The 19,544-nt window shown below is 49.9% G+C and overlaps 1 protein-coding gene across 14 annotated transcripts in view, besides 5 other annotated features; it reads left to right on the plus strand.

Moving 5' to 3' along the window:
- Positions 1–19,544, plus strand: part of RAP1GAP2 (RAP1 GTPase activating protein 2) — a 282,097-nt gene that overhangs the window by 180,588 nt on the left and 81,965 nt on the right. The window contains exon 1 of one of the 14 annotated variants that reach the window (XM_011523743.2): positions 3,719–3,846. The exons of 12 other annotated variants lie outside the window; for them this stretch is intronic. In XM_011523743.2, coding sequence (XP_011522045.1) covers positions 3,823–3,846 — 24 coding nt within the window. In that variant the 5' untranslated portion in view covers positions 3,719–3,822. Of the gene's footprint in view, positions 1–3,718; positions 3,847–19,544 lie in introns of those variants that run through there. One more of the 14 variants, NM_001437988.1, reaches the window with a different exon arrangement.
- Positions 2,963–3,480: an enhancer, noted in NCBI's record as "H3K4me1 hESC enhancer chr17:2842489-2843006 (GRCh37/hg19 assembly coordinates)". NCBI's record gives its function as "activates a minimal SCP1, AML or CMV promoter by ChIP-STARR-seq in primed H9 embryonic stem cells {active_cell/tissue: H9 hESC(primed)}" and the evidence as "EXISTENCE:reporter gene assay evidence [ECO:0000049][PMID:30033119]".
- Positions 3,998–4,514: an enhancer, noted in NCBI's record as "H3K4me1 hESC enhancer chr17:2843524-2844040 (GRCh37/hg19 assembly coordinates)". NCBI's record gives its function as "activates a minimal SCP1, AML or CMV promoter by ChIP-STARR-seq in primed H9 embryonic stem cells {active_cell/tissue: H9 hESC(primed)}" and the evidence as "EXISTENCE:reporter gene assay evidence [ECO:0000049][PMID:30033119]".
- Positions 10,830–11,350: an enhancer, noted in NCBI's record as "H3K4me1 hESC enhancer chr17:2850356-2850876 (GRCh37/hg19 assembly coordinates)". NCBI's record gives its function as "activates a minimal SCP1, AML or CMV promoter by ChIP-STARR-seq in primed H9 embryonic stem cells {active_cell/tissue: H9 hESC(primed)}" and the evidence as "EXISTENCE:reporter gene assay evidence [ECO:0000049][PMID:30033119]".
- Positions 11,351–11,871: an enhancer, noted in NCBI's record as "H3K4me1 hESC enhancer chr17:2850877-2851397 (GRCh37/hg19 assembly coordinates)". NCBI's record gives its function as "activates a minimal SCP1, AML or CMV promoter by ChIP-STARR-seq in primed H9 embryonic stem cells {active_cell/tissue: H9 hESC(primed)}" and the evidence as "EXISTENCE:reporter gene assay evidence [ECO:0000049][PMID:30033119]".
- Positions 11,872–12,392: an enhancer, noted in NCBI's record as "H3K4me1 hESC enhancer chr17:2851398-2851918 (GRCh37/hg19 assembly coordinates)". NCBI's record gives its function as "activates a minimal SCP1, AML or CMV promoter by ChIP-STARR-seq in primed H9 embryonic stem cells {active_cell/tissue: H9 hESC(primed)}" and the evidence as "EXISTENCE:reporter gene assay evidence [ECO:0000049][PMID:30033119]".

Raw genomic sequence — 19,544 nt, forward strand, 5'->3', positions numbered from 1 at the left:
GTCTCCTAATGCTATCCCTCCCCCCTCCCCCCACCCAGTTTTGCCTCTTAAGTACTATTTGTCTCGCTGGCCTTCATGCCTCCTTCTTTGCTTGGTTGCCTCCCCTGGCCATGGAGAGGATGTCAGAGTGTGGTCACACTGGTCTCTGCTCATGACCCTGCCAGGGGCTGTGGGCCTTCTCCGCCAGCCAGATTCTCCTTTGTGCCCTCTGAGGTTAACACAGACAAACGCACTCACCTTCTTCCTCCCTCTTCCTCTCCTTCCTCCCTGCCTCGAACCTCTTTCACTCAGAACACCTGGCTTTGCTAGTAACAGGCTGTGTGACCTTCAGCAGGCCAGTTAACCTCTCTGAGCTTTAGTTACCCTCCCCCGGTGCCCCAAAATGGATGATCATGAGGGTCAAATGGGAGGTGGTAGGAATGGGTCCTGGGCTCTGATATTGAGTCTTGCTCTTCTACTGTGTACCATTAGACGCAGCCCTGACTTCCTTTTTACCTCTGTGGCTTTATCTCCAAAACAGAGGGAATAACTCTCTGGAAGTCCTCCCGGGACCCCCTTCCTTGCAGGAGAGCCATTGCCCACTCCTCTGTGCGCCCAGGCAGCTGTGGGCTTTACCCATGCTCCTTGCTCTTCGTTTTCCGGATTGTAATTATTTGCTTCTATGATTGTCATAGTCACCAGACTGAAGTCAGTTCCTTTCTTCAGTTATTCATTCAGCAAGTGTTTACTGAGCATCTGTGTGCCAGGTGCTGGGATTACAGATGAAATGGGGGAAACAGCTAATTAAACGAGAAGTTTTAAAGCTGAGAGTTAAAGTGGTTGGATAGGGCATGTGTAGGACGGGAGTACCACCTTGGGACAGGGAGGAGGGTGCAGACCAAGAGGGCTTCCTGGAGGAGGTGACCTCCAAGTTAAGACCTAAAGGCCAAGTAGGAGTCAAGCAAATAAAGTGGAGTGGGAAGGAGGAGAGGGACCGAGGGTGATCTTCCTTGGTCTCCAGCTCCAAGCCAGTGCCTGGCCTGGAGGAGATCAGTAAGTTGGTTCTCCATCTCTCTTCTTCCTTGCTCCTTCTGAATGCCTTCCTGCAAAGAGGCAGGAGCCTGGATCCTTGGTTTTCTGGACCCTGGGATGCTGTGGCCAAGGGGGTTGCAGAAGTGTTCTGGATATGGCATGTCCTTCCAGCTTGGGGCACGCCACGTTCCTGAGGCTGGGGCTGCAGGAACGGGCATGGCAGCGTGTGCTGGGGGACACTGTGCTGAATGATTCACTGGCTCTGAGTAGGAGTGGAGATGAGCCAGGCCAGCAGCACGTGCAGGAGGGAGCTGGAAGGATGCTGAGGATGCACGAGCCTTATCCTGGGTCCCTTTTTCCAGGGGAAGGAGAGAAGGGCTCAGTAGGGGACAGCGAGGCTCATGAACTTGACAATATCATTTCTCCAAGATAGTCTTTTATGTCAGAATTTTGAGTTGGAAGGAACATTGCCAGGCCTCTCTGCAGCTAGGGGTCCCTCTAGCACATGGAGCTTCCAAAGGAAGTGAGGTGGTGCAGTTCACATGCTAGAGCTATGCTCCTCTCCTCCTTTATGCCCTGACCTCCAGCGTCATTTTAAGCCCCCGGGGATGGACCTGTGCCAAGGTCTTCTCTGCCTGGCCTCGATTAAGCTGTGTCTTCCCCCAGCCCCTGGAGACATTTCCTGGCCTCTGTTCTCCCTTGGAAGACTGTGGGGTTCTGGAGCTGAAGCAAGCACAGGATAGGGCTGTGCTGGAGAGAGGAGACGGGCTTTGTGCCTGGTGGCAGGCTGGGCAGGAGCAGGGAGCGAGCACGGAGCCAGGGCTGGGAGGAAGGATCGATGATCATCACAATCCCCATTGACAGAGGACATTTCGTGTCTCACCTTGCTCTGGACACAGCACGTACGTCATGTCCTATTCTACAGCCACTTTGCAGAGTGGCTTATATTTCTCCCATTTTATAGATATAGAAACTGAGGCTCAGAGGCTGAGTGACCAACCCATGCAGCTTGTCAGCAGCAGGGCCACGAGTTAGTAGCTTGTCTGCCCCACACTAGGTCTGGAGCTGTTTCTCCCACACCACACTGCCTTGTTTTGAGGGTTTAAAAAATTCATTCCTTTCCTTCCAAGCTGGGGACCTTGCTTTCCTCTCAAAGCTGGAACAGAACCGAGGGCCCTGGATGGGTATGGAGCGTGACATGTCATTAGTGTTGGAAAAAGACTGTGAGACCCAGGGGATCCCTGGGCTGAGCCGGGGCTGGCTTCTCCTTCCCCACAGCACCAAGTGCCTCTGGGCCCTGAGCTCATGGTGTGTCTCCCCCAGCCATTCGCTATCTTTAATTTTTTTTGGTAAAATAATTACAGGGCATGAGCACTGCTATCTTTATTTAAACCATGTTAATTTTTTTTAAAACAGAGTAACACACACACAAAACACCTTGGATAAAAAAAATAAATATCTGGCTGGGTGCGGTGGCTTATGCCTGTAATCCCAGCAATTTGGGAGGCCTAGGCAGGTGGATCACCTGAGGTTAGGAGTTTGAGATCAGCCTGGCCAACGTCGCAAAACCCCATCTCTACTAAAAATACGAAAATTAGCCGGGTATGGTGGCGGGTGCCTGTAACCCCAGCCACTCGGGGACTGAGGCAGGAGAATCTCTTGAACCCAGGAGGCAGAGGTTGTAGTGTGCCGAGATCATCCCATTGCATTCCAGCCTGGGCAACAAGAGTGAAACTCCGTCTCAAAAAACAAAACAAAACAAAAAAAATGCTTCAGGCTGTTCCTCAAAGAAAACGGTTCCCTATGCCTCTGCACACCCCTTTCCAGTCCTCCAAGCCACCACTTATTCTTTTTTTTTCTTTTTTGAGACAGAGTCCTGCTGTGTCGCCCAGGCTGGAGTGCAGTGGCACAGTCTTGGCTCACTGCAATGTCTGCCTCCCGGGTTCAAGTGATCCTCTGCCTCACTCCCCCGAGTAGCTGGGACTACAGGCATGCGCCACCATACCCAGCTAATTTTTGTATTTTTAGTAGAGACGGGCTTTCGCCATGTTGGCCAGGCTGGTCTCGAACTCCTGACCTCAGGTGATCCACCCGCCTCGGCCTCCCAAAGTGCTGGGATGACAGGCGGGAGCCGCCTTGCCCGGCGCACTTACTCTTTTAGCTCTTTCTTCACACCTCTTAGGTGGTGTGAGGTGCGTGGGAATGCCTCGAAAGATGCAGGCACCGGTCTCTCTTTTACTTGTTTTTATTTTTCTTGCACAGAGAGGGCTTCCCAGTTCAGAGAAGGGAAAATTGAGGCCCCCACCAAGGGGAGCCTGCTGGAGTCTCCAAACACACAAGACCCGGGGTCTCCTTCAGGCCCAACACTGTGGCTGGTTTCCTGTGTCCCAGTCGTGCCTTCCGTCCGGCCACGCGGGCCAGCAGTGTTGAGAACTCACTCAGGGCAGGGATGGAGGGGGGAGGCTTCTCACCCCTTTACCTTCCTAGGCCCCAGTGGGCGTCCATTCATCACCTGCTGGCGTGGGGCCTCTCCCTTGGAAGGGACCCCCTTGCCCTTATGACGTAAGACGTGTGGCACCTCCATCAGCCCTGGGTTCCCCAGAAAAACGCCCGCGGCAGAGGACAGGTCAAAGGTCAGCGCTAGTCAGCGTGGACTAACAGCTTCGGGCGGACACCCGAGTCCTGTAGTTCCTTGTTTGATCTGAAGGAAGTTGTCCAGCGTCAGCAGCAGCCGCCGCCGTGGTGGTAGCAGCTGCAGTGGAGCTAAAGGCAGCAGGGCCCCGACTCTCGGGACCCAGGCCCTGGCGGGAGATGGATTTCTTAAAGTACCTTTTCGTGAGTGTCCCTGGGCTGTGGAGGGATGCCCGTCCAGGCCCTGCTGCCTGGAGGGGGTGGGGAACAGAGCCTCTCCTGTTGTCACCTGGCTGGGAGCCCCGAGTGGCTGTTTGCCTGCCACGGGTCATGGAAGCCACCCTTCACTCAGGGGAAGGAGGAACCGAGACCAGGGACAGAGGGGCCTCTGGGTGGGGGATGTGGAGGGCAGGGGACAGACTCAGCACCCGGGCCTTTCCTCCCTGGCTTGGAGATTCGAGGTGGGTCCTGGCAGAGGGCTGGAGAGAACTCACTTCTGTGTTCCTCTGGGAAGGCTTCTCGGCTCCCTGCCGGGGCCCGAGGGAACCCACTGCCAGCCAAAGGCTGTGCATAGGTGGGAGTTGCCATGGCGAGAGGGGGAGGGACTCCTCAGCTGGGCTTCCGCCTGGCCTGGACGCTTGGAGCTGGCCAGGCTGCGGGTCCCGCCCTCTCTTCTTTGGGCTGTGGTTCTGGGGACTCTGTGTCCTGTCACGGAGCCTCAGAGTGTGGTTAGTGTGAGGCCCAGCGAGGAGAGTGTGAGCCGTGGTCCTCTGCTGCCAAGCCACACTGTCCCTGCAGGCTCTGCAGACGCCCCTTCCAGCTTTGGCAGACCCTTTGTGCCCGCTCCTGGTGAACATGGGGGGCCCACGCGGACTTGGCCAGGTGGGGACTGTGAGGCTCTTCGTCTTTCCCCTGCCTGCTGCCAGCCCGGGACTGGCTGTTTTCTTGCCTTTCTTCTCCCTCCTTGGCTGTGTCATCTTTTTCTCTATGGGAGTCAAGGGTGACAATTCAGGGACGAGTGTGAGGAGTGACAGGACACTTGTTTGTGGGGTTGGACCAAGGAGTTCCCCAATCTCAGGCTGCACCGCCATGGGCTCCAGGATGCTGTGGGGGGACCGGGGACCTTGTGACCAGCCAGAAACGGCCCAACCTCTCTGGACCCTGGCAGGGTGTGGGTAGTGGTATAGTGGAGAGTTTTAAGCTGCGAACTGATCTCACCTGATTGATGTTTCAAAAGACCGCGTGGGCCGGGAACGGTGGCTCACGCCTGTAATCCCAGCACTTTGGGAGGCCGAAGCGGGTGGATCACTTGAGGTCAGGAGTCTGAGACCAGCCTGGCCAACGTGGTGAAACCCCGTCTCTACTAAAAACACAAAAATTAGCTGGGCATGGTGGCACGTGCTTGTAATCCCAGCTACTCGGGAAGCTGAGGCAGGAGAATCGCTTGAACCCAGGAGGTGGAAGCGGAGGTTGTGGTGAGCTGAGATTGTGCCGTTGCACTCCAGCCTGGGCAACAGAGCAAGACTCCATCTAAAACATAAATTAAAAATAAAATGAAATAAAAACAACAAAAACAAAAAAAAGACCATGTGGCTGTTCTGTGGGGAACTGATTTGAGAGGGGGTTGGAAGGAGGCAGGAGCCCGAGGCGCTGTCCAGTTGAGGCACCGTGAGATGAGGGAGGCAGTGCAGGTAAGGAGAGGTGGTGAGATGTGGGATGCCTTGTGATGGCGGACTTGCCAGGAGGATTGGATGTGGAGGATGAGGGATCAAGACATCAGTGATGACTCTTGGGTTTTTTTTTTTTTTTTGAGACAGAGTTTTTGCTCTTGTCGCCCAGGCTGGAGTGCAGTGGTGTGATCTCGGCTCACCGCAACCTCCTCACAGCAACCTCCGCCTCCCAGGTTCAAGTGATTCTCCTGTGTCAGCCTCTGGAGTAGCTGGGATTACAGACATGTGCCACCACGCCTGGCTAATTTTTGTATTATTAGTAGAGACGGGGTTTTACCGTGTTGGTCAGGCTGGTTTTGAACTCCTGACCTCAGGTGATCCACCTGCCTCGGCCTCCCAAAGTGCTGGGATGACAGGCGTGAGCCACTGCATCCAGCCGACTCTCTGGGCTTTGTCCTGAGTGTCACTGAGATGGCTTTTGAGGGAAAGAATGAATGAGAGTTCCTGTTTTGGCCTCTAACTTGGGAAGTTTGAGGTGCCTGTCAGACATGCACGTGAGATGCTGAGTTGGCAAACCTTGATGGATCTGAATTTGAATCAGGATTCATTCTGGGCAAGTTGCTTAACCACTCTAAGTCTCCAACCCTCCAGGCCTCCCTCCCCGAGTACGTGTGAGGCGTATGGAAAGTGCCCAGTTCAGTGCCTTATACCTGCCTGGCACATCACCAGTGCCCAACAGAGGATACCTTGGGACTTCCTACAACATTGCTTAATATCATCTCATCTTCCAGCTCAGGAACATTCAGTGGCTTCCATAGCTTGAAACTTGTGTTTGGGGCTGAAACTTGGGGGCTGATTTGGCTCATAGAATGATTACGTTTGGTCCACATAGAGATTTTTAAAATTTTGTGTCATCCATGTACAAAAATTGGGAGACTCACACAAAAAATTGGATTTCTGGCTTATTTTGAAAACTTCAGCAACACTGAGCTTGCCTTTCTGCTGGACAGCTTAGTGAGAGATAAGTAAATAGTGGCCGCCCCCTTTGGAATGGCCGTGTGCTCTTCAGTGTACCATTGTCTCAGTCTCATGCTCTTTTTCTCTTTTAAAAAAATTGGTGAAATTTATATAACATAAAATTAATGATCTTAAAGTGAACAACTCAGTGGCGTTTAGTACTTTTGTGATGTCGTACAACCATCACGTCTATCTAATTCCAATTTTTATTTTATTTTATTTTTGAGACGGAGTCTTGCTCTGTCACCCAGGCTGGAGTGAAGTGGTGTGATATTGGCTCACTGCAACCTCCGCCTCCTGAGTTCAAACGATTCTCCTGCCTTAGCCTCCTGAGTAGCTGGGATGACAGGCACTCACCACCCACGCCTAGCTAATTTTTGTATTTTTAGTAGAGATGGGGTTTCACCATGTTGGTCAGGCTGGTCTTGAACTCCTGACCTCAAGTGATCTGCCCGCCTTGGCCACCCAAAGTGCTGGGATTACAGGTGTGAACCACCACACCTGACCTAGTTCCAAAATATTTGATCATCCCCAAATAAAACCCCTTTAAGCAGTTACTCCCCACTTTCTCCTCCCCCCAAGCCCCTGACAATCACGAATCTGTTTTCTGTCTTTATAGATTTACCCATCCTAGATATTTTATAGAGATTGAATTATTAGGCTTCTGCACAGCAAAGGAAACAATCAACAGGGTGGAAAGGCAGCCTACAGAATGGGAGGAAATATTTGCAAACCATATATCAGATAAGGGGTCAGTTTTTAAAATGTATAAGGAACTCCTACAGCTCAATAATAAAAAAGCCTCACCTGATTTAAGAAGTGCACTATAGGGGTGGGTACAGTGCTCACGCCTGTAATCCCAGCACTTTGGGAGGCTGAAGCAGGCAGATCATCTGAGGTCAGGAGTTCAAGACCAGGCTGGCCAACATGGTGAAATCCTGTCTCTACTAAAAATTAGCTGGGTGTGGTGGCACACGCCTGTAATCTCAGCTGCTTGGGAGCCTGAGGCAGGAGAATTGCTTGAACGTGGCAGGTGGATGAGGCAGTGAGCTGAGATCGTACCAGTGCACTCCAGCCTGGGTGACAGAGCAAGACTCTGTCTCCAAAACAAACAAACAAAAAAAAACAAACAAAAACCAAACAAAAACGTGTACTAAAGACTTGAATAGACACTTCTCCAAAGAAGACATACAAGTGGTCAACAGGTATATGAGAGGGTCGTTAATCATCAGGGAAATGCAAATAAAACCACAGTGATATATCACCTCAGACCTGTTAGGATGGCTAGTATCAAAACCACAGAAGAGGCCAGGCATGGTGGCTCACGCCTGTAATCCCAGCACTTTGGGAGGCCAAGGAGGGCGGACCATGAGGTCAGGAGATCGAGACCATCCTGGCCAACATGGTGAAACCAGTCTCTACTAAAATACAAAAAATTAGCCAGGTATGGTGGTGTCCGCCCCTGTAATCCCAGCTACTCAGGAGGCTGAGGCAGGAGAATCGCTTGAACCCAGGAGTCAGAGGTTGCTATGAGCCGAGATTGCGCCATTGCACTCTAGCCTGGCGACAGAGCGAGACTCCGTCTCAAAACAGCAAAACCAAAAAAAAAAAAAAAAAAAAAACCAAACCACAAAAGATAACAAGCATTGGTGAGGATGTGGAGAAATTGGAACTCTTGTAACACTGTTGGTAGAAATGTAAATTGGTGCAGCCGCTATGGGAAACAGCACGGAGATTGCTCAAAAAATTAAAAACATTAAAAAGAGAACTACCAACTTCATTCTTTGCACGTGGATATCCAGCTTTTTTGCAGCGCCATTTGTTGAAAAGACTATTCTTTCCCTAGGATTGGTCTTGGCAATCCTGTCAAAACACAGTTGGCCATAGATGTGTGGGTTTATCTCTGGACTCTTAATTCTACTCTGTCGGTTCATATGCCTGTTATTGCCAGGACCACACGGTTTTGATCACTGTAGCTTTATAGTAAGTATTGATTGGGAAATATGAGTTCTCCACCTTTGACCTTCCTCTTTAAGAAGGTTTTGAGTATTCTGGATGGAATTTCCCTATCAAATTTAGGAGGAGCTTTTCAGTTTCTTCAAAACATCCAGCTAGGATTCTGATAGAGATCGCGTTAGATAGGTAGATCACTTTGAATGGTACTGCCACCTTAACAGTATTAAATCTCCAATCCATGAACATGGAATGTCGTTCCATTTATTTATGTCTTCTTTAATGTCATTGGGCAATGTTTTGTAGTGCTTAGTGTGCCAGCCACTCGGTTAAATTTGTTCCTAGGTATTTTATTCTTTTTAATGCTATTTTATTTTTTATTTTTTGAGACGGAGTCTTGCTCTGCCACCCAGGCTGGAGTGCAGTGGCACTATCTCGGCTCACTGCAAGCTCTGTCTCCCGGGTTCACGTCATTCTCCTGCCTCAGTAGCTGGGATTACAGGCGCCCGCCACCACGCCCGGCTGATTTTTTTTGTATTTTTAGTAGAGACGAGGTTTCACTGTGTTAGCCAGGATGGCCTCGATCTCCTGACTTCGTGATCCACCCGCCTCGGCCTCCCAAAATGCTGGGATTATAGGCGTGAGCCACCGTGCCCAGCCTAATGCTATTTTAAAATGGAATTGTTTTCTTAATTTTCTGATTGTTTATTGATTGTTTATTTTAATTTATTATTTTTATTATTTTTATTGTTTGTCTTTTCTGATTGTGTCTCTCCGATTGTTCATTGCTGGTGTATAGAAACACAACTGATTTTTGTACTCTGCAATTTTGCAGACTTCCTTTATCAGCTCTAGTAGATTTTGTGCATGTGTGAAATCTGTGAGGTTTTTTTGTGTTGGAACGTCTCATCTGACAATAGAGATAGTTTTACTGTTTCCTTTCCGTGGTAGATACCTTTTATTTCTTTGTTCTGGCTAGAACTTTTAGTACACCCAATGGTAGTGGTGAAAGTGAGTTTCCTTGTTTTGTTGCTACTTCATCTTAAGGGGAAAGCTTTTAGTTTTTCATCACTGAGTATGATGTTAGCTATGTCTTTTTTTTTTTAATGCCTTTTATGTCAAGGAAGTTCCCTTTTATTCTTAGTTTTCTGAGAGTTTATATCATGAAAGGATATTAGCTTTTGTCGTGCTCTTTCTGTATCAATTGAGATAATCATGTATTTTTTCTTCTTCATCCTGTTAATGTGATACATTGATTTTCTTTTTTTTTCTTTATTTTATTATTATTTTTTTTGAGACGAGTTTTGCTCTTTCGCCCAGGCTGGAGTACAGTGGCACAATCTGGGCTCACTGCAACCTCTTTCCCCTGGGTGCAAGCGATTCTCATGCCTCACCCTCCCGAGTAGCTGGGATTATAGGCACGTGCCACCACGCCTGGGTAATTTGTGTATATTTTAGTAGAGACGGGCTTTCACCATGTCGGCCAGGCTGGTCTTGAACTCCTGACCTCAGGTGATCCTCCTGCCTCAGCCTCCCAAAGTGCTGGGATTACAGGTGTGAGCCACCGTGCCCGGCCTATTACATTGATTTTCTTGTGTTGAACTGAGTTTGCATTCCTAGGATAAATTCCACTTGGTCATGGAATATAACAGTACGCTGTTGGATTTGGTTTATTGGTACTTCGTTGAGGATGTCTGACTCTATCCATAAAGATACTGGCCTGTAGTTTTCTGTGGTTCCTTTGTGTCACTTTGATAACGCTGGCCTCATAGGATGAGTTAGGAAGTGTTTCCTCCTCTTCTATTTTTGGAAGAGTGTGAGAAGGACTGGTGTGAATTCTTCTGTAAGTGTTTGGTCGGCTTCACTATGAAGCCATCTGGCCCTGGACTGTTCTTTGTTGGGAGGTTTTTAATTACTACGGATTCCATCTCTTTACTTCTCCCATCACTCGTTTAGGTTGCTTGCCTCGTGCCTGAAGTCATTGGCATCTTCTAGTCCTGTCTTAGAATTTAAATATGAGTCTGCCTAATTTAAGATGTCCTATAAAAACCCAACCATCTTCCCACCCTTCCCCACCTTGCCACATCTCTGCTCTGGTATCTCTGCTGAGAGATGGTCCCTCCCACACAGCAGCAGCATTCAACATGATGAACCCCATAGGTCAGTGGTTCTCACTTGGGAACTTCTTAGAAACGCACATTCTCTGGCCAAGAATCAGAAGCTCTAGGGGTGGGGCCTAGGAAACTTTTTTTATTTTTGAGACAGAGTTTTGCTCCTTCGCCCAGGCTGGCGTGCAGTGGCGTGATCTCGGCTCACTGCAACCTCCACCCCCCGGGTTCAAGTGAATCTCCTGCCTCAGCCTCCCAAGTAGCTGGGATTATAGGCGCCCGCCACCACACCTGGTTCATTTTTGTATTTTTAGTAGAAACAGGGTTTCTCCATGTTGGTCAGGCTGGTCTTGAACGCCTGACCCCAGGTGATCCGCCCGCCTTGGCCTCCCAAAGTGTTGGGATTACAGGCGTGAGCCACCGTGCCCGGCCGGAAACTGTGTTTTAACTAGCCCCCAGGTGGTTCTGTGGCATTAGCACTGCCACACTTAACAGAGAGCCATTGCAGGCTCCTGGCCCCAGTGACATAGTGAAATGGCACCTCTGAAACGCTCCAGCAGCAAAGGAGCCGTGAGCATCAGGAGTTGGTGGAAAAAGGAGACCAGAGAAGGGAAAGAGGAGCAAGCAGGTGGCTTGGCGGGGGTGGTGGGGGGAGACTTGGTTGGAACAGGACCTGATTCTGGAGGACGGTTCATTATTGGGAGCACCCACTGGGCATAGGGTTGGCCATCCAGGGTGAGGGGTGCAGTCTGTGGTCAGAGCACAGACAGCTGTTAATAGCAGTAACACTGGCCCGTCCAGCCCTGACTCTAGCCATCCCAACAAGCCCGCCCTGGCCACTCCCAGGCCAAGACTCAGCCCTCACCGCTTGCTTCGTTGCATCTTGCTTAGCAGAATATTTAGTCATTCATCTGGCAAATGTTTATTGAGCATCTACTGTGTGCTAGGCAGTTCTATTAATAGCACAGGGATATGGCAAGGATCACAGCAAACGAAGAGCTCTGCCCTCGAGGACCTTCTGTTCTGCAGCCAGCCTGGTGGCCGGCTGGTTCTCATCCTGCTTGCCCTGTGGATGGGGACTTCTGGACCGGTAGCGGAGTCGGGCAGTGTGGCGTGCTCGGTGGTCAGACGACATGGGACACATCCCATCCCGCTCCCAGGGCGTGCCCTGTTTCCCCAGCTTTCCAGAAACGGGTTTAGAGAACTCTCCAGAAATCCTTTTCCTTGGTCATGTCTTCCCTCTTCATCCGGATGAGAAACTCACTCTGACCTGTTTGCTTCTCCCCCCAGCACTTTCTGGCCCGCATCTCCCCCCGATTTTCCTGGGACCCACGTAGGTGCAAAACACCTGCTCCTCCATCCTTGTCTTCTGGTAATGTTTTTAGTTTGCTGTTGATGTAGCCTTGTCCCCTCCGTGTGTCCTGGATTGGGGTGGGCGGGAATAACGAGGCGATTGCAAGGACTCATTGAGCGACCTGTGTGCCAGGCTCTGTACACGCTGGCCCGTGTGGTCCTGCCACAGCTCTGTGAGTTAGCGGTCATGTTTTCAGCCCCATGCAAAGGCGCAAGCACTCAGACAGCGTGGTTCTGTGAACATGAGTGTGTGGTGCCTCCCAGGAGCAGGGATTTTAGCGAGGCTGCTGACACATAAACACACCCCCACCTCCAGAAGCAGAGGAGAGGAGCCCAGGGCCAGGGCAGGTAGCTCAGCAAGGACCCAGCATGCTGCAGGTGGGGCCAGTGAGAGTCACTTCTCCAGCGAGGGTCAGAGAGGAGAGAGGCAAGAGTGTTGCAGGGGCGAGGGTCTCATGAGCTGGGGTGCGGCAAGAGGGAAGGAACAGGTGGATGCCTGTCTGCAGGAGAAGCTGTGCCTGTGTGTAGAGCTGCTGTGGACCAGGGGGAGGCAGGGAGGGCACAGGGTGGTGATGAGATGGAGAGAAGGGGTCCTGGACTCGGGTGCAACAAGAGGGAAGGAAGAGGTGGCTGCCTGTCTGCAGGAGAAGCCGTGTCCATGTGTAGAGCTGCTGTGGACCAGGGGGAGGCAGGGAGGGCACAGGGTGGTGATGAGATGGAGAGAAGGGGTCCTGGACTCGGGTGCAACAAGAGGGAAGGAACAGGTGGCTGCCTGTCTGCAGGAGAAGCTGTGCCTGTGTGTAGAGCTGCTGTGGACCAGGGGGAGGCAGGGAGGGCACAGGGTGGTGAGATGGAGAGAGGGGGTCCTGGACTCACACGAGTGCCATCTTTTCCCGTCGCTTCTTCTGCTTTGCCGCCTGGGCAGTGGGCTGGCACCCGAACCGGCAAGTAGGGGCATTGGGAAAGATCCCTCAAGATTTCCCAAGCCTAAATTACTCCTTGTGGTTCTTGTTCACGTCTGCCCCTGCTACCTGGGACCTCCTCCAGCATCCTCCTCCCCAAAGACTTCTCTGCCTTTCTGAAGGAAGACCAGGCTGTTTCTGTATCGGGAGGTGGTGGGGACAGGGGTGGAACTTGGGGCCCAGACGGAGTTCCTCAGCTGAGTGCTGGCTCTGCGTGGTTATCTATTGACTGGCTGTGAACGCAGAGTCCACGGGGAAATGCTGGCCGCCCCTCTGATTTGGGTGGCAAGAGCTGCTGCTGCTAATACATTAGACAGCTGCATGGACGCTGCTATTGATGAGGAGACCCAATTACATGCCTCTGTGAAAATCCAGCGGCTGGCTTCCTGGTGGATGGAGACCCCTTCCGGAGGCTGTCCCGGGCAGGACGTTAGTCTCTGGGGCAATGCCAGTGAGTCAGTGAGCATTAACTGAGCACCTGCTGTGTGCCCTGAGCATTAACCGAGTGCCTGCTCTATGCCCTGAGCATTAACTGAGTGCCTGTTGTGTGCCCTGAGCATTAACTGAGTGCCTGCTGTATGCCCTGAGCATTAACTGAGTGCCTGCTGTATGCCCTGAGCATTAACTGAGTGCCTGCTGTGTGCCCTGAGCATTAACTCAGTGCCTGCTGTATGCCCTGAGCATTAACTCAGTGCCTGCTGTGTGCCCTGAGCATTAACTGAGTGCCTTCTGTGTGCCCTGAGCGTTAACTGAGTGCCTGCTATGTGCCCTTGGCTGTATGCAGCCATCTCAGGGTGTGTGGATGAGGGTGTGTCCGAAAGGCTGAGCTGCTGTTCCCGGCTGGCCTGAGTCACGCTGCTTCTGGGTGGAAAAGGAGACTCACTCCCTGCCAACTGTCCCATTGGAAAGTGCAGCAAGTCGCTGAGAAGTGGGGCCGGCCCAGCCAAGGCCATGCTGCCACTGGCTGATTTCTGCTGCTGGGCACTGTCCATGCAGGGATCATCCACCCAGCACGTTGCTCATGGCTGAGGCTGAATCATAGCCCTTCTCACCAACTGTGCCAGCCCCAGGCCATGGGGCATCTTCATTCAGACCCATTTCTTTTCTTCTTCTTCTTCTTCTTCTTTTTTTTTTGAGATGGAGTCTTGCTCTGTTGCCCAGGCTGGAGTGCAGTGGCACAATCTTGCCTCACTGCAACCTCCACCTCCCAGGTTCAAGTGATTCTCCTGCCTCAGCCTCCCAAGTAGCTGAGATCACAGGCCTGTGCCACCATGCCTGGCTAAGTTTTGTATTTTTAATAGAGACAGTTTCACCATGTTGGCCAGGCTGGTCTCAAACTCCTGGCCTTAGGTGATCTGCCCACCTCGGCCTCCCAAAATGTTGGGATTACAGGTGTGAGCCAATGCGCCCAGCCAGACTCATTTCTAACAGTCTTCTAAAGACACTGTCTCTGGGAAGACCAATGAAATCGAGAAAAAGTATCTTGAAGCTGCTAGCCCACCTCCAACAGGACAAAGCATGCTTCCAGAGGGAGCTTTCCCATAGCTCCTTCTAGGAGCTGCTATTTACTGGGCATTCACTGCAGACCAGACCCTGGCTGGGCACTTCTTACGCCTGTTCTCACCTCATCTGCCTAAGAGCGCTGAAGTCAGGAACTATTTGCTTCAATTTTTTTTTTTTTTTTTTTTTTTGAGACAGAGTCTTGCTCTGTCACCCAGGCTGAAGGGCAATGGTGTGATCTCAGCTCACTGCAACCTCTGCCTCCAAGGCTCAAGCAATTCTCCTGCCTCAGCCTCCCAAATAGCTGGGATTACAGGTGCCCGCCACCATGCCCAGCTAATTTTTGTATTTTTAGTAGAGATGGGGTTTCATCATGTTGGCCAGGCTGGTCTTGAACTCCTGACCTCAAGTGATCCACCCACCTCAGCCTCCCTAAGTGCTGGGATTATAGGCGTGAGCCACCGCGCCCGGCCTGCTTCAATTTTCAGGTGAGGAACTTAAAAGAGGAATGAAGAGAGGTTAACATGCCTCATGCAACACAGCTGGGCAGTAGCAGGTTGCCCACTCCCCAGACCTGGGCTTCGACCACCGGGCTCTGCTGCCTCCTGTGTGTTTCTGCTGCACCTAAACCTAAATCACTCTGCATGACCTTGCAGCCGAAGCCTGAGTTCTGGGGTTCAGCATCTCTCAGGCCCAGGCCCCAGCTTTGCTCTCCCATCTGATCTTCAGGATGTCTGACCCAGAGGCCTCCAGCCAGCCGGGCTGATCCACTAACGCTTCACTGACTGTGTGCCGAGCTGCTTCTCTTTTCTGTCTTTGCCCATTCAGTTCCTGCTGCCCGAGTGCCACAGTCTCCTCACCCCTCTCTATCCAGTGATTTCTCTTGATCCTTTAAGGTCTGTCTGGGATCTTGTGTCTTGCAAAAAGCCTTCGTTGACATTTTGGTTTTAAGATGTGTCCATGAATTCTTTGATGCTTCTCTCTTCAAGAGGTCGAACTTGTTGTGTGCGGTGGCTCACACCTGTAATCCCAGCACTTTGGGAGGCTGAGGCGGGAGGATCGCTTGAGCTCAGGAGTTCAAAACCAGCCTGGGCAACATGATGAAACCCTGTTTCTACTAAAAATACAAAAATTGGCTGGGTGTGGTGGCAGTGCTTGTAGTCCCTGCTACTTGGGAGGCTGGGGTGGGAGGATCGCTTGAGGCCAGGAGATCGAGACTGCAGTGAGCTGTGATCATGCCACTGCACTTCAGCCTGGGTGACAGAATGAGACCCTGTCTCAAAAACAAACGAAAATAAAAAGACGTGAAACCTAGGCTGGGCGCAGTGGCTCACGCCTGTAATCCCAGCACTTGGGGAGGCCGAGGCAGGCGGATCATTTGAGGTCAGGAGTTCAAGACCAGCCTGGCCAACATGGTAAAACCCTGTCTCTACTAAAAATACAAAGATTAACTGGGTTTGGTGGTGGGCGCCTGTAGTCCCAGGTACTTGGGAGGCTGAGGCAGGAGAATCGCTTGAACCCAGGAGGCGGAGGTTGCAGTGAGCCAAGATTGCGCCACTGCACTCCAGCCTGGGCGATAGAGTGAGACTGTGTCTCAGAAAAAATAAAATAAAATAAAATAAATACTGAAAAGCACAAAGGGAAAAATCATCTGTACCTTCAGCCTCATTTTGTTGTGTATCCTTTGGGATATTTTTCTCCGTGGGGGTGATGCATGCCCTCAGATGCAGTCCTGTGTCTCTCTATACAAACACATTCTTTATGTTTCATGGAAACAATGGGATCATCTTGTTCAAAACTCTATTTTTCTCACTTAGCAATGCACTGTGAATCTTTGCAGTAGCATCATGAGCACAGACCTCCTCTTGTCGTTTATTGTATGAGTGTACCCCTGTGCCTTATTTACTTTTCCTTTCACGGTTGGGTACTTCCCCCATTGCTTAGACTTTTTGGCCCTTAAACAGTGCTGGGACAAACATCCTTGTACATGTGTTCTTGTGGCATGGCCCGGATATTGTTCTAGGGTAAATTCCTTAGAGTGGGTTTCCTGGACCAAAGGACGTGGATATTTTAAACGGTTTGGATACATGGTGCCTTTCGGAAAGCTGTATCAGGTGTGCACTCAGCAGAGTTCCTGCAGCCCGGGGCCTGCAGACTGGACACAGTGGCTGTACTGTTTCTCATTCCTGCCAGCTATATGTTCCTGCCACATATCCTTGCCAACACTGGTTGATCTGATAGTGAAAGATGTTATCTTACTGTGATCTTAATTTCTTTCATAACTAGAGAGGTTGGGTTTGTTTCCATGTGTTCATTGGTTATTTTATGTGTGTCCTTTAATCATTTGTTCATGTCCTTTGCACATTTTTCTGTTTTTTTTTTCTTTTGAGACAGTCTCACTTTGTCGCTCAGGCTGGAGTGCAGTGGTGGGATCTCAGCTCACTGCAGCCTCCACCTCTTGGGTTCAAGTGATTCTCATGCCTCAGCCTTCCGAGTAGCTGGGATTACAGGTGTGCGCCACCACACCCAGCTAATTTTTGTTATTTTTAGTAGAGACAGGGTTTCACTATGTTGGCCAGGCTGGTCTCGAACTCCTGGGCTCATGTGGTCTGCCCGCCTCAGCCTCCTAAAGTGCTGGGATTACAGGTGTGAGCCACCACTGCACCAGACCCCTCATTTATTGATATAATGGCTTTTGGATAGTTTGAGGTATGGTCTTCCAGATCATTTTCTATGAATTTATATGCATACATTATATACAGTATCTTTTTTTTTTTAAGAGATGGAGCCTCACTGTGTCACCCAGGGTAGGGTACAGTGTCATGATCATAGCTCACTGCAGCCTTGAACTCCTGGGCTCTAGCAACCCTCCTTGCCTCAGCCTCCTGTGTAGCTAGGATTACAGGTGTGAACCACCGTGTCTGGCTGTTTTTATAAAATTGAGATTATATTCAATGTATTGTCTCTGATTTCCTCCACCCCTCAACTTAATATATCTTGGAGAGTGTCATATGTAAGCAACATGAATCTGTTGCTGTCTTTTTGAATGATTGTATAGTTTTTTTGAACAGCTTTATTGAGATATAATTTACGTATCATAAAGTCACCCATTTAAAGTGTACAATTTGGCCGGGTACGATGGCTCACGCTTGTCATCCCAGCACTTCGGGAGGCCAAGGTGGGCAGATCACCTGAGGTCAGGAGTTCAAGACCAGCCTGGCCAACATGGTGAAACCCTGTCTCTACCAAAAATACAAAAATTAGCTGGGCATGGGGGCGCATGCCTGTAATCCCAGCTACTCCGGAGGCTGAGGCAGGAGAATCGCTTGAACCCAGGAGGTGGAAGTTGCAGTGAGCTGACATCGCGCCATTGCACTCCAGCCTGGGTGAAAAGAGCGAAACTCCATTTCAAAAAATAAAAAATAAAATAAAGTGTACAATTCAGTGGTTTTTGGTGGTATTCACGGAGCTGTGTAACCACCATCATAATCAGTTTTAGAACCTTTTTATTGCTTTGAAACGAAATCCGTACCTTTTAGCTATCACCTTCCAATCCCCCATCCCCCTCAGCTTAAGCAAGCGCTCATCTTCTTTCTGTCTCTATGAGGTTGCATACTCTGGACATTTGATTAAAATGGAATTATGGTCCTTTATCTCTGACTTTTGTCTTTTTTAAATTTTTTTTGAGATGGAGTCTCACTTTGTCATCCAGGCTGGAGTGCAGTAGCGCGATCTTGGCTCACTGCAGGCTCCGCCTCCCGGGTTCACGCCATTCTCCTGCCTCAGCCTCCTGAGTAGCTGGGATTACAGGCGCCCGCCACCATGCCCAGCTAATTTTTTGTATTTTTAGTAGAGACGGGGTTTCACCGTGTTAGCCAGGATGGTCTCGATCTCCTGACCTCGTGATCCGCCCGCCTCGGCCTCCCAAAGTGCTGGGATTACAGGCTTGAGCCACCACGCCTGGCCTTATGTAAGAGTTTTTGTGTGGACGTGTATTTTCCATTCTCTTGTGTAGGTGTCTAGGAGTGGCACTGCTGGGTCATGCGGGTACAGAGGCAGGTTCTTAACTGCTTTTCTATACCTCCTCCTGTAGTGAGGGAATTTGTCATCCATTTGGTTCACATATCAGTACTTATTTATTTATTTATTTATTTATTTATTTTACTTATTTACTGAGAGGCAGTCTTGCTCTGTTGCCCAGGCTGGAGTGCAATGGTGCGATCTCTGCTCACTGCAACCTCTGCCTCCCAGGTTCAAGCGATTCTCCTGCCTCAGCCTCCCAAGTAGCTCAGATTACAGGTACCCGCCGCCAAGCCCAGCTAATTTTTGTATTTTTAGTAGAGACGGGGTTTCACCATGTTGGCTAGGCTGGTCTTGAACTCCTGACCTCGTGATCCGCCTGCCTCAGCCTCTCAGAGTGCTGGGATTACAGGTGTGAGCCACCGTACCCGGCCCTATCTCTACCTTTTTTCATTTGGTGTAATGCACTCAAGGGTCAGCAGTGTTGTGGCAGGTATCAGTATATGTTATTTTTATTGGCTGAATATTATTCCATCGTATGGATACAGCACATTTTGTTTATTCGTCAGTTGATGGACATTTGGGTTGTACCCACCGTTTGGCAAGAGTGAATACTGCAGTAGTGAATGTTTGTGTACAAGTATTTGCTTGAGTACCTGCTTTCAATTCTTTTGTGTATATTCCTGGGGGTCGAATTGCTGAGTTGTGTGGTCATAATTCCGTGTTGAACATTTCCGGGAATTGCCAAATGATTTTCCACAATGGCTGTACTGTTTGACATTCCTACCAGCAATAGATGAGGGATCTGATTTCTCCACAGCCTTGCTCACGCCTGTGATAGTCTGTGTTTTGATCGTGGCTATGTTAGTGGTATGAGTGGTGTCTCATTGTGGTTTTGATTTGCATTTCCTGATGACTAATGGCTTGAGTGTCTTTTCATGTACTTATTGTTCCTTTGTATGTCTTCTTTGGGTATATGTGTATTTAGATCCTTTGCCCGTTTTTAAATTGAGCTGTCTTTTTCTGACTGAGTTGTAAGAGTTTGTTTTTGTAGAGACACGTCCTTTATCAGATATACAATTTGCAAATATTTCCTAGCATTCTGCGGGCTTTCTTTTGACTTTCTTGAGAGTAAGTATGAGGAATTCGTATTAACTTTTCTTTAAACGTTTGGTAGAATTTACAAATGAAGCCACCTGGGTCTGGGCTTTCCTTCGTGCGTCGTTTTTTTGATCATTAATTTGATCTTTTTATTTGTTATATGTCTTTAGATTTTCTATTTCTTACTGAGTCAGTTGTGATAGGTTATGTTTTTCAGG

This window comes from Homo sapiens, chromosome 17 (assembly GCF_000001405.40).
Source record: "Homo sapiens chromosome 17, GRCh38.p14 Primary Assembly".
In the NCBI taxonomy this organism is placed as follows: domain Eukaryota; kingdom Metazoa; phylum Chordata; class Mammalia; order Primates; family Hominidae; genus Homo; species Homo sapiens.